The sequence below is a fragment of the Homo sapiens genome, chromosome 15, assembly GCF_000001405.40.
Source record: "Homo sapiens chromosome 15, GRCh38.p14 Primary Assembly".
In the NCBI taxonomy this organism is placed as follows: domain Eukaryota; kingdom Metazoa; phylum Chordata; class Mammalia; order Primates; family Hominidae; genus Homo; species Homo sapiens.
This window is the reverse complement of record NC_000015.10, coordinates 55,816,955-55,831,365: the sequence shown is the minus strand read 5'-3', so window position 1 is coordinate 55,831,365 and position 14,411 is coordinate 55,816,955. Positions and strand designations below refer to the sequence as shown.

Genomic DNA, 14,411 nt, shown 5'->3' with positions numbered 1-14,411 from the left:
CACACATAGAGCCAGAGTTGTTTGTGTTAGAATACAAAGTCAAATTCTTAGAATACAAAGTCAAATTCTTATGTATTTATAGGAAGAAGTTATTTCAAAATGTTAAAATTACAATATTAGATAGCCAATAAAAAGTATGTTAAGGCGGCTGGGTGCGGTAGCTCATGCCTGTAATCTCAACATTTTGGGAGACTGAGGCAGGCAGATCACCTGAGGTCAGGGGTTTGAGACCAGCCTGGCCAACATGGTGAAACCCCATGTCTAGTAAAAATACAAAAATTAGCTGGGTGTGGTGGCACACTCCTGGAATCTCAGCTTCTTGGGAGGGCTGAGGCATGAGAATCATTTGAACCCAGGAGCCAGAGGTTGCATTGAGCCGAGATCATGCCATTTTACTTCAGCCTGGGTGACAGAGTGAATGGCTTGTGGCCAGGAGTTCAAGACCAGCCTGGGCAACATAGTGAGACCCCCATCTCTACAAAATGAATTTTTTTAACAGTTAGCCAGGCGTGGTGGTGCACACCTGTAGTCCTGGCTACTCAGGAGACTAAAGCAAGAGGATCACTTGAGCCCAGGAGCTTGAGGCTACAGTGAGCTTGAATCGTACCACTGCACTCCAGTCTGGGTGACAGAGGGATACCCCATCTCTAAAATATAAATAAATAAACCAGATTAGTTCCCTGTGTGTGTGTAGGAACTAGTGTACACTAGAAAAAGTTTTGATATGCCTGGAGATCCTTGTAGAGAGTAAATGAAACCAAATAAATTCTTCCTTATAGGTTCAAATGGACCACAGTCATTTACAGTTGAACAGTGGGGTACTCCTGAAAAGCTGCCAAGAGCTCATACCTGGTAAGCAGTTGTTTGGACCTTGATAGAACAAAGCCTCAGAGAGTGAGATTCCTCTGTTAGTCTAGCCACAGCAGGGCTAGTCTCCTCTGTGTTATGTCGGTGGCAGGTATGGATTATGGGTAAGAAGGAGTTGGTGACACCCAACGAACAGGTGTTTTGTTACCAAGTTGGCCCAAGCTTGAAGTCCAGGTAGCTGAAGATCAGAGAGACCCACCTAAACTGAGTGATGAGTGATGGGCTGTCCCAAGACAGGCTAGAACATTCCATCTTGGAGGCTGAAGTGGCAGAGAACTCAGACATTTGGAAGATGTGGTGGGGGCAGCACTCCACAAGGAGTTGTGCAGAGTATCCATGCCCAGAACCCAGTCCTACGTCTTACTTCTACCCCTGGTGAAAAGACATATTTTGGTGGTGTTGGAACATTCTCATCAAGAATAGCAGCATTGCTCTGTTTGCTGTGGTGGTACTTGCTTTGTCAGTGTCTTTCATAACCACTTCCTCTCTGTTCTTTCAGTTTTAATCGCCTGGACTTGCCACCTTATGAATCATTTGAAGAATTATGGGATAAACTTCAGATGGCAATTGAAAACACCCAGGGCTTTGATGGAGTTGATTAGATTACAAATAACAATCTGTAGTGTTTTTACTGCCATAGTTTTATAACCAAAATCTTGACTTAAAATTTTCCGGGGAACTACTAAAATGTGGCCACTGAGTCTTCCCAGATCTTGAAGAAAATCATATAAAAAGCATTTGAAGAAATAGTACGACAACTTATTTTTAATCACTTTTAAATAATGTGTTGCATTTACACAGTTGTTTCATGCTGTCTTTAGAGTTAGGTGCCTGCCTAAAGCCAGGCACCACCACACCTGGCTTTAGAGTTCACACAATAGGATATAAGTCCTGTATGACTTAAATAGTGAATTTTGTCCTTAACATTTACCTCTTGTATAGTATCTGCCAGGCAGTTTTTTCTTAAACTACTGAGATGATAACTGTGAAATATTTGTGATACGTGTCATGTGTGAAAAGTTTGATGCATTTTGAGATGGAAAACTGAAATTTGGAAAAAGAAATACTTTACTATTGAGTAAACTACAATATATTTAGTGCTACTCGCAGCTATTTATTATTTTGTAGACCTGCCTTATGCACCTTACTGCCTAGATTTTTGGGAAAAAACTTTGGAAAGTGTGTTACCTATATTTCTAGCCAACTAACTCACAGAAAAACTGTTTACTTCTTCACTTTCGAAGTATTTGGCTTTTGTTAATATGCAGTTTTACTAAACAGATGGTTCATAAGACATGTGAAGCAAATTCATATTTGCAATGGGTAAAAAGTATTAAAGCCTTTCTCTTGCCTGCATATCCTATTGACCATTGGTATAGTCATCACTTTTTCATATTTTAGTGTAGTTAGAAGAATTCCTTCTTCAAACATTAAAGATCCACAAAGCAGTATTTCTAAATATGCCTTGAAGAACTAAATGAAGTGTATAGCACTTGCCTTTACTAGATATTCTTTACACTTGTACAATTATGTAGTAAATGTATGTTTACAGGGTTTATCATGTTTACAGATTAAGCTAATTTCTGTAGTCGCATTTTTATATTTTTAGTATCACTCTAGTAAAAAAACCAAATAATTTGTTTAAAATAACCAAAGAGTTGTTATAATGCATAATTTGTATTAAATTTATTACTATTTCTTATGCCTTTTAAAATACTGTTTACTATGAAGACAATGTTTTTAATTACAAATCCAGAATTCTGTAGGCAAAATGCTACAGTTCATATCTTCCTTTAACCAAACTGAAGTACATAAAGACCATGTACATGTATTCATCAAACGTTTATTGAATGCTGCGTGCCTAGCGCTGTGCTATGCTCTGGGGTAAGAGTTGTCAGCTTCAGAGAAGCTGAGTCCTGATCCTCAAGGAACTTGCAAATGTGTCTATGAATTTGTAAAACAATCAAAAGTAGGCGTAAGCAGAATAAGGCAAAAGGGAAAGTGTTCTAGGTTCCAGCACACCTGCAAAGATAAAGTGTGCCAAGACTGTATTTATATTTCATACTTATATTGTTTCATCCTTATATTGGAATGATTATATAGAAAATGCTCTTAAAAAGATTAAACCTATTTCTCAGTATGGTATCTTGGTGATTTAGGAATAATTGTAAATATATGTTACGAATCTTCTTAAATATATATATATACACACCCTGTGAGAACTGTAAAAAGTACCTCTGGTTCTTGGTTTAAGTTTGTTGGGGTATAACATGATGAGTACTCATTAGCACCTGATAGAAATCTGAAATGTGACAGTAGCAAAACCACTTTCTACTTTCCAAACACCACAGCATCAGCATGGTTTAGGGGAAGCAATTCACAGATTAATGTACCCTGCGTTTTGTCTTCACCATTGTCAACCAGCAGTCAAGGATGAGCACCAGGTATAGTCCTGGTTTGATATCTCACCAGCCATGTGAACTGAAGCAGCTTACTTAACCTCTCTGGATTCATATTTCTTCATCTGTCAAATGAGAGTAATCATGCCCACCCTCATTGTCATGCCAGATTGTCAGAAGTTCCAGACAGATGAGAAAGCAAAAAGTACTTTGTAAAGTGTTATACAATCAGAAGGTGCTTTGTGCTGACCGTCAGATTGTGTCAAGTCAGGTGTGCAAATTGACCACACTCCCAAAGAATCATTTAAAAGTAAAGTGACTTCTAAGAGACAAGGAAGTAGGAACATTTCTGATATTAAATATATAAATAATATGGATACACATGTGTATATCTGTATATGGATCTTACCATCATAATTCATTTTCTTCATATCAGCAAAGTAATAGTAATGTGGGCCAATGCATTTTGGAAATGTCCTCATTATGTAGAATGGAATGTGAAAATTATTTTTGTTAAAACAGGATTTTGCCACAATTATTTAAATATTATGTTTGTGAACTATCTAAGCATGAGAAAATACAAAGCTTTCTTTGTATCTGGCTGATACTCATTTGGATGATTCTGTGACTCATAGAACATGATGTTAAATGAGACCAGACTCAACTGCCACCAGTCCCCAGCTGCAGACCTTCATCCCCTTCATCTCCCACTAGGGGCTCGTGGTCTGGAAGAAACATCTATCAAGCAACACAGCCCCTTATCCCAGATAGAAAAGTGTCTCAAATGCATTCTACTGCGGGACAGTCAGTAGGATCATTTTCATAAAGCAAGGACATCATATGTTTCTAGAAATTACAAGCATATAACTTTAGCCTACAATCTCTTATTAAAAATTTTTAACAAAATTGTATTACAAATGCATTTCATCAGAACTCAAATTTAAATGGTGTTTGTTTTGGGTTTTTATTTATAATGCTGAAGTTATTCCATATAAGTATCAAGTTAAACACAATTCATTTTGATTATAAACTATTTGACTTTTTAAAATCTTCTGACACAGTAAATATATATATCAAGATTGATGTATCAAAATTTATTGCACACTTTAAAGTGTAAAATCATTTTTTAAAATCTTGAATCCACAAATAAAGTTCTATTCTGATTTTAAAAAACAAAACAAAACTGTGGTTCATTATAAAATAGGAGTGTTTCCAAGTCAGTATGCTGGGTGATGTCTTCTGGTCTAGTTCCTCACAGCAGCACGTTAAATTTTCAGTGCAATCCTAAACTTATTACCTGATGAACTAACATGATTATAAACTCTCAACCACAGATAATTAATTTCCACTTTACAAAAAGGTCGTATTGCATAAGTCTGGTTGTTAGTGAAATAGCCAGAAGATAAAAATAATAGCTAAAAATGGACTGGATTTCAGGCACCTTGCTGCTCATCAAAGAAGCCATTCTTGTAGCCAACCACTATTTACAACATCATTTCTATGAGAAAAAGAGTTCGGAGTGTTAATTCAGAACGAAGTGTCTTTTCCTCCTTCCTCTCAGGCATGAGAATTAGTTTCCCAGTTAGAAGGGAATCCACTCCCACCCACTCAAGCCAGCCTGGGAAGGTGCTGTTCCAGCCCCCTGTTTCTGCCATAATCCAGGCCATAGCTTTTAATTTTGGGGACCTAGGCCATGGCCCTCTGCTTCCACGTTTCCTGTTCTAGCCAACTCGGGCAGCAGCTAGCCCACAGCATGCCCCACCTGTACAAGAAGTCCTTGCTTTGCTGTCCATCACGGCAGACATTTATTTTATAAATGATATTAAACTAAGGTATTAGAATGTCAGTACCTCATTATGAAGAAAGAGACTTAGTAGATTTTTGTCTTTTTCCTTGAAAGTTAAAGCCTATCACACTAGCCTCCTCTTTCTGTTCCGCTCATCTCTTCCCCTGCAATGCATCCTATGCAGTCCCTCCATCACAATCAGTGTTTCCTTTTTAGCACACAGATTTGATCAGGTTACTGTACCGCCAAAAAACCTGAGAGCTCCCCAGAGCCAAAAGCATGAAGCACAAACCCGTTAGCATGGAGGTTCGCATGGAATGCAGTCCATCCTCAGCCTAAGGTCTCAATTCCACCTTCCATCATACCTCACTCAGGTGCCCTTGGTTCCCCTCCAAATCAGAGTCCTTCCAGCCCCTAATCACTGCAGACTCCGGTGCCACCTGAATGCTTTCACTTCTCATGTCTACTTGGTAAGTCACTCCACTTTCTGGACACAGTGGAACGGTGCTGTGGCCTCAGCAGTTGGTATATACTAGTGCGGATGACACTGCATTACAATTCTTTGTTTACATAATTCTGTCCTACAGACTTCTGGGCAGTTTGAGGACAAAGACAATTATGTATCCATCTTTTTCATATGTTCATTTCCCAATGCAAATATTTGACGAATTTGAGCTTAAAAGTACTGTTTGTGTATAGAATCCATTTAGGAGCATGGTGTGCCTGGAACTGCAATAATGTGCAGGAGCTCTGTAGTTAGGTGGACATTGGGGACTACGTAAATATTCAAGCAGAGAGGGAGCTTGATTGAGATCCTGCTGAGTGCTGGATTCTGCAGTAAACACTTTATGTGGATCTCATTTAATCTTCATAAAAACTCAGTGAGACAGGTTTTATAGGCTCAAGGACAAGTAATACACCTAAGGCCACACAGCTTGTAAACTCAGTGGATTTATGAACCACAACAAAGAAAAGCTATGGAATCCAACAAATTACCAAGATGTATCCGTTTTCTTGGGCTGCACAACAAATTGCCATAAACTTAGCAGCTAAAAACAATACCCATTTATTATCTCAGATTTCTGTAGGTCACAAGTGTACATGGTCTTAGCTTAGGGTTCTCTGCTCAGGGTCTCACAAAGCCAAAATCATGGTGTCTGGGCTCTTGCCTGCATCCAAGATCTTTCCGATTATTGGCAGAATCCAGTTCCCAGTAGCTGCAGGTCTGAAGTCCTTGTTTTCTTGCTGGATGGCAGCTGGGGGGCACTCTTAACTTTCAGATGTCACCCACATTCCTCATGGATTGGCCCTCTCTCCCTCTTCAAGCCAACAATGCCTCTCATGCTTCTAATCTCTGATTTCCCATTCAGCTGCCCTTTTCTGCCACCAGACGGAGAAAGTTCTCTGTGTTCCAAGATTTATTTGAATAGATCAGGCCCACCTGAATAGTCTTCCTTTTTGGAAATTGACTGTACTGGCCAGGTGCAGTGACTCACGCCTGTAATCCCAATACTTTGGGAGGCCAAAGCAGGCAGATCACCTGAGGTCAGGAGTTTGAGACCAGCCTGACCAACATGGCGAAACCCTGTCTCTACTAAAAATACAAAAATTAGCCAGGCGTGGTGGCGCGTGCCTGTAATCCCAGCTACTTGGGAGGCTGAGGCAGGAGAATCACTTGAACCCGGGAGGCGGAAGTTGCAATGAGCCAAGATCGTGCCACTGCACTCCAGCCTGGGTGACCAGAGCGAAACTCCAACTCAAAAAAAAAAAAAAACACGAAAAAACCATCTCAGAGAAAAAAAGAAAATTGTACCATAGGCGCAGAACACAGTCATGGGACCAAGATCTTATCACGTTCATAAACAGCATAGATTAGGAGGATGAGATATTTCCTAGATCATTACTAGAAAATCCTGCCTTCCACACAACATAAAGGCTAAGGATAGAAAAGTTAAAGATTATGGAGGTTCACCTTGAAAAACACTTATGTATATCTAATTTTATAATGTGCGTTCATTTTTCCACTCTTTGTCAATGAAAGGCCAGCTAAATAAACTAATGCTAACAACAGCCGGTAAGATTCCACTTCAGCAGCTATAAATTCACAAGTCACTACTCTCAGATGAGCCATCAATTCATATTTTTCTCAATACCAGAAGGTTGCATTGGCCTGAAATTATATTCAACTCATCCTTACAATCTTGCTTCTTATACAAGCAGAAATGAAAAGCCATAATTGCTCCTTTTATTGGGAAGGTTGGTGTCTTTCCAGTGAAATCATGGTCAGGATTATAAGGTGGGTCCAAATCAGACTACAGCCATGATGGGAAGAAAGCAGTTCACAGCCCAGAGCTGCTGAACATTCTCTGCAGATGTGTTTAGAACTGCTTTAAATCTCTGGAGAGATGTGCAAGGGAGGGCCTCCAAACGCCCAAGTAAATGAAAGTTCCTGTGCAATCACATGACCCTGGAACAAAGTTTTTTCTCCTGGTGAAATTAACCAAAGATTAAAGCCATAACTATAGGCTCATGAGTTATACTCTATTCATTATTTAGGTCCTGACTTAAGTTCTCTTCTGAAAAATAATCAATTATTATAAAGGCAAACATCATGCCTTCTTAAAAGTTGTTTTTCTGTAACAAGAATATTTTATAAATGAGAAATTCAAGCATATTTTCTCAAACTAATAGGAGGTAATGAGCACAGTGAACTAAGATAATCTCAGTTTAAACAAACAGGATTTTCACTGATGTTGGACTTGAAAACACTATCCAGATTAATGACTTTGTTAATACCCAGTCACTGGGCATAAGTCCAAGTGTAGCATAAATATTCTTCCAGACTTGATGACAGTGAAATATTCTATGTTTAGCCCTCCGAAGGGATAACTAAGTTCTCAGTGATTGATGGATGGCAGCCAAATAGGTTCGCTTTTTTAGTATTGCTGTTTGTTGGAATGGGGTCATGCTTGTGAATAGATGGTGATGGTGTGTGGTTTTATGAGGAATTGTGCAATGTTTTATCCCTGTCTGCCCCTTCAAAAGAAGTGTACGAAGAGAAAAAAGAAAGCTCTATTAACTCAGCCACTACTAGGACTCTGGAATATCTGTGGTTCCCCCAGGGGCTCAATTTATGTACTTGCCCTATCTCCATCTGGGGACATTGTGAAATGGAATTTGGGATTTATTGTCAAGACCTCTAATTACTAATATAGGCATTGACAAGGTAGGGGAAGGGAGTTACACTCAGCACGTACTGCAAGCCTTTGGAAGGCACATTAAGACACAGTTGAGCCTACAATATCTTAGGATTAGTCCAGCACTATTTAATAGTCATATAAAGCAGGCAACATGTGTAGTTTTAAATTTTCTAGTAGCCATGTTTTAAAATATAAAAAGAAAATTAATTGTAGTAATCTATTTTATTTAACTCAGTATATCCAAAACATCATTTCAGAACAGGCACAGTGGCTCACACCTGTAATCCCAACAGTGTGGGAGGCTAAGGCGGGTGGATCACCTGAGGTTAGGAGTTCAAGACCAGCCTGGCCAAATGATGAAATCCCATCTCTACTAAAAATATAAAAAATTAGCCAAGTGTGGTGGCGGGCACCTGTAATCCCAGCTACTCAGGAGGCTGAGGCAGGAGAATCACTTGAACCCAGGAGGCCGAGGTTGCAGTGAGCCGAGATTGCCCCATTGCACTCCAGCCTGGGCAACAAGAGCAAAACTCCGTCTAAAAAAAAATCATTTCAACATGTGATAAACATAAAATTATTAATGAGATATTTTCCATTTTTGGTACTAAGTCTTTGAAACCCAGTATGTACCTTATGCTTACAGCACATCTTAATTCAGACTGGCCACATTTCAAATAGCCACACATGGCTGGTGCTGCCATACTGGACAGTGCTGGAATCCATGGGCCTAACGACAAACTTCCACACAACATAAAGGAATTGAGAGGCAGCTACAAGTGGCTCACCTAGCGATGTTGCTAAATTATTTTTCTTCCTCCAGGGAACCCCAGAGACTAGGAAGAAGTTCTTCCAGGAAAGCCAAATGTTGAAATTCAAACAACATTCTAATCTAGACAGTCACGTTTTGAAATTTAAAATTTACACTTAGAAATTATTTCATCCATTGTGGAAGACAGTGTGGTGATTCCTCAGAGACCTAGAAGCAGAAATACCATTTGACCCAGCAATCCCATTATTGGATATATACCAAAAGGAATATAAATCATTCTGTTATAAAGATACATTCCAGCGTATGTTCATTGCAACACTATTCACAATAACAAAGACATGGAATCAACCCAAATGCCCATCAGTGATAGACTGGATAAGAAAAATGTGGTATGTATACACCATGGAATACTATGCAGCCATAAAAAGGAACTAGATCATGTCCTTTGCAATGGATGGAGCTGGAAGCCATTATCCTCAGCAAACTAATGAGGAACAGAAAACCAAACACCACATGTTCTCACCTATAAGTGGAAGCTAAATGATGAGAACCCACAGACACATGGAGGGGAAAACACATATGGGTCCTGTCAGTGGGGGCGGGGGGTAGGGAGAGCATCAAGAACAGCTAATGGATGCTGGGCTTAATACCTAGATGATGGGTTGATCTGTGTAACAAACCACCATGGCACACGTTTACCTATGTAACAAACCTGCACTTCCTGCACATGTACCATGGAACTTAAAAGCTGAAGCAAAAAAACAAGAAAATATACAAATAGCCAACAAACATACAAAGCAATGCTCGGACTTATTTTATGTTGAAGACTGGAAGTACTTTTGCATGTCTTCTGTTCTCCAAAAGTTTGTGCAGTACTCTGGCATGTATTTAATTGTTAACTTTTTTGAAAAAATCTATGCCTTCTTTTGAAACCACCTTTTTTTTTTTTTTTTTTTGAGATGGAGTCTCACTCTGTCGTCCAGGCTGGAGTGCAGTGGCGCGATCTTAGCTCACTGCAACCTCTGCCCCCCGCCCCACCAGGTTCAAGTGATTCTTGTGTCTCAGCCTCCCGAGTAGCTGGGATTACAGGTACCCGCCACCACGCCCGCTAATTTTTGTATTTTTAGTAGAGACAGGGTTTCACCACGTTTGCCAAGCAGGTCTCAAACTCCTGACCTCAAGTTATCCACCCAACTCAATCTCCCAAAGTGTTGGGATTATAGCCGTGAGCCACCGCACCCAGCTGAAACCACCTCATTTAAAGCATCTGTTTTCTTACAGTTTCTTTCACCTCTTTAAATTTTAAAATCACTTATTCTGTTTTATTTTAAATAGAACATGTACAAATTGTAGAATGTTTAGAAAATACATGTGCACCGCCAGATTAAAATGCCTACACCAAAAATAAAAAAATATAATTTCCACTCAGGAGCTTAAGGATGGTGGTCTGGTTTGAGGAGGAGCTGTGTTTCCACTGTAAGCACATGAGTTTCACTTAGGTTATATGTTTACTAGGGGGGGCTCGGGTGAGAGGCTGATGCGGATTATGTAGAGGTGGGCTAAGCCCCCAAGTCATACCTGAGTGTGCCACTGTAGCTCCTATAGAGGCAGGAATTTTGCTGAAAGTCGCCCACCCAGTACTGAGGTGGTCCCCACAATACTGAAGGTGTTCCCTACTGAAGGTCATGGAAGCTGTGGGCAGGAGCAAACATGTGGGAAGAGCTGGGAAGCAGCTTCCAGTATGAAGTGCTGGATCTAGCACCTTGAAAGATCATCACCAGAACAGAGGAGGCACATTGGCACCTGGGTGGTTTATCAGAAAGAAACATCCGGTAGCTGGGCATGGTGGAGCACGCCAAGTAGTCTCAGCTACTTGGGAGGCTAAGCTGTGAGGATCGCTTGAGCCCAGAGGTTCGAGGTCAGTCTGGGAAACGTAGTGGGACCTTGTCTCAAAAATTTAAAAAAGGAAAAAAAAAAAAAGAGAAAAACAGCTAGAAATCACGAGCAGTGTTGAGACAGGACAACTAGGAGGGTAAGGCCACTGCTGAGGAGGTCACAGGGGGTCACCTGGGAGCCAACCTCTGACACTGAGGGGAAGGCATAGACTGTGGGAGAGGCATCTGTTTGTTTTTTCTGGTGCAAGGAGAATAACAAAATGCGATCAGAAGGGCTAATAGACTGCAGATGGAGCTCAGCCCAGCTGAAGGCTTTGAACTGGAACCAGCCCTCTAATTTTCAGCAGTGCGTGTGGCCCATGAAAAAGAAAGAGTGAAATTAAACAAGGGATCATCAGAGGCCATTATGAGTTACTCTCAATGGGTGAAACAGCAGATTGTATTGAGAGAAATAGTAGGGATTTGACAGTGAAAGTAATCTGATCTGTATCCTGTCAACAATAGGGGAACTATTCAAAAGTTACATGCCAAAGGGTGGGATGATGGGATGTGCACTTCAGAAAGCTCATTCTTTCTCTCCAGGGGCAGTAAGACCGGGAGCCGGCCTTAGTTTGGCGAGCATTCCAGTGACACAGGGGAGAGATGGTGGCGGTCTGAAGTCAGCCTGGAGAAGCTGGGATGCAGAGATGTAGGGAGGCTGAACTGCCCTTGTTTTTGGAGAGGGAAGGGCAGGAAGGGCACAGACAGGAGTGTAGGCCCACACCTAAGTCTCTAACTGGGCCAGCTGGATGAAAGCTGGTGCCGCCACTGAAACGGAAATAGGATCATGGAGACATCAGAAGGGAGGCTGCCGGCAGGCGGCTGTGGATCTAAAGGTGGGTAGAGATATGGAGGTTATCAGCAAATAATCAGTAGCCCGTGAGGAGACCCTGTTACACGTGCAGCACACTAAGAAAGCTGATTGAATTATCAAACATCACTTCTGATAAGCAAATTCTAATATATTTTATACTTAATAGAATAAGTGGTGAGTGGGGGAAGACTATAAACAGTGTAATTGGTAGTGTTTTCCTAGCCAAAAGGAGGCTTTTAGGTTTTTCTTTTGTCTCTGTTAGGTATTCCAAGTTCTAGAATTATTGCCAACAGTTTTCTCTGGTGTCCTGTTCCACTCAGGGTGGAATTCCTCCCCACACCCGCACATGTGTGTGCACAACCATAGCCTGATGGCTGCTGATGACCTGGCTCCCATTCCCAATCTCCCTGGTGCGAGGCCCAATTTCTCTGCAGTTGCTCTCACCTGAGACCCTGCCTGTGCCTTGCACTATAAAGTGGTCCTCTTGTTGCTCTTCACTTTGGCGTCTAGGTGCTAGAAGGCCAAAAGCTGTAGGAGCTCTGGCCCCTGCACCTGTGGATAACGTCACTGCTGGGTAACAGCCCTATGACCGCCATAAAGAAGTTTGCGTGGGTGGGGAGTGGGGAGGCTGCAACTGGCCAGGTGGCCCTGGGGAGGGAGAAGCACAATGAAAATGGACTCTGAGGCCCTTGGAAGAGTGCTGGAGAAAAAGAAATAGAGATTAGAGATGAGCTAGGGACGCCTAAAAGAGCACGAAGGACATGGGATGCAGGTTCCTTGGCAGGGAGTCTGTGTGGTCTCAAGCACTACCTGGAATAAGCTCCTGGCAGCCCCAGGATGGACGACCAGGTAAGGTAGCAGACCCTGGAGGGGAGCGAGAGAGAGCCCCTCCTCTCTACCTTTCTATCCCAAATAACAAGTGACCCTAAAGTCTCTTAAATGACTAAACGTAGCTCCCTCTCGGGGCTGGCCCCCATAGCAGGAATGGTGAGGTTCAAGAGAAACCAAATATGCTCTCACCTGTTTTCTGATGACTGAACTTAATAGCAAATAAGGCCTTTCATTTCCATACTTAGAAGACTGAAATTACAACACAAAGGAAAAGATTTCTGACCCCAAATGTATTCATAGTAAAAGATAAGAGCTGTTCCAGGATTGATAGAGGTTAGAAAAAGGGACACTTCTCCTAGGTTGGAAAAGAGCCCTGAAATAGAAGATCAAGAGCCTGAAAGACCAATATTCTCAGCATTGCCATTTTATCTTAGGCTCTGTCTACCTGAAGCCAATTCAGACCAAGAGAAACAGCTGGAACAGTTTCCAGTGTGGGCAGTGATGGTCTTTGTCACAGCATAGGTCATTGAATTATTTTATCTGCATAAGATTTCACTTGGGGTTTTGTGTAGGAGAAGTATTTCACAAATCTCTATGTCATGAAATACTTCCAAGTATTAAATTACCCAAAAGATGCTTACTACCCATGGGCATGAATTCAGAGGGCAAATATGCTTACATCAAGAGGGACAGACAAAAATGTGAGGTTTTCCTTAATTATATTGGTTCCCTAGTTATATATAACAGACACTACATCTCTGAGTCCACAAAATCTTTTCCAGAGTGCCAATAACTTTTTTCCTTTGACTCAACCTCAGCCCACTCTGCCAGCAATGTGGGACGGCCACAATCCGAAGCCTGTTTGCCAAGTTATGGGGGCTTGGAAGTCTTTTCAGCTGGTAGAACAGAGGTTTCCCAGCCCTTTTGTTTTATTTATTTATTTATTTATTTATTTATTTATTTATTTATTTATTTTGGGACAGAGTCTCGCTCTCGCCCAGGCTGGAGTGCAGTGGCGCAATCTTGGCTCACTGCGAGCTCCGCTTCCCGGGTTCATGCCATTCTCCTGCCTCAGCCTCCTGAGTAGCTGGGACTACAGGCACCTGCCACCATGCCCGGCTAATTTTTTGTGTTTTTAGTAGAGACAGGGTTTCACTGTGTTAGCCAGGATGGTCTCCATCTCCTGACCTCATGATCCTCCCGCCTCGGCCCCCCAAAGTGCTGGGATTACAGGTGTGAGCCACCACGCCCGGCCTCCCAGCCCTTTTAAAATGATCTAACATGCATACAACAGAGGTTGGAAGAGTGACTCAGCCACTAAGTGAGTGGATACTTTTTAAATCCATGATAAATATGCTGGAAAGCTATCTAATTGTTCCTCATTAGGAACATTTCTTCCTCATTAGGACATTGAAGAATGCTGGAACACAATTCACTGAATCACTCTTACATTTAGATCGCACTTTTAATTCACTTTAATGCATTTTCACATTTATTGTCTCCTCTTATTCAATGCCAGTAAAGGAGATAGGGCACACTTCATCATTCTCATTTGATAGCTCAGAAAGGGAAAACAAGACACAGCAAGGGTTTGCCTTTGGGTGCACTGCAAATTAGGAGCCGATCTAGAAGTTGCAGTCAGCCTCTTTGGGTGGTATCTTGGCCCTACAACTTCATAGCTTGTGTCTAGGACTAATGAGCTCACCTAAATCTCACTCTGCCTGACCTGCAGGTGAGGTCTGGAGGCAAACTGTCTATTTGGAGTATCAGTCATATAGTTAGTGTTTCTTTCTCTCTTCCAGACACAATGG

At 41.5% G+C, this 14,411-nt stretch overlaps 1 protein-coding gene across 10 annotated transcripts in view; it reads left to right on the top strand.

Annotated features, from left to right (window-relative positions):
* The window catches only part of NEDD4 (NEDD4 E3 ubiquitin protein ligase), a 166,696-nt gene extending 162,247 nt beyond the window's left edge, over nucleotides 1–4,449 (top strand). For 7 of the 10 annotated variants that reach the window (NR_104302.2, NM_006154.4, NM_001329212.2 and 4 more), the window contains 2 exons: nucleotides 780–852; nucleotides 1,367–4,444. Coding sequence is in view for 9 of the 10 variants with exons in the window: in NM_006154.4 (NP_006145.2) it covers nucleotides 780–852; nucleotides 1,367–1,469 (176 nt within the window). In the remaining variant the exon portion in view is untranslated. Of the gene's footprint in view, nucleotides 1–779; nucleotides 853–1,366 lie in introns of all 10 variants that reach the window. The other 3 variants (NM_198400.3, NM_001284340.1, NM_001284339.1) reach the window with 1 other exon arrangement.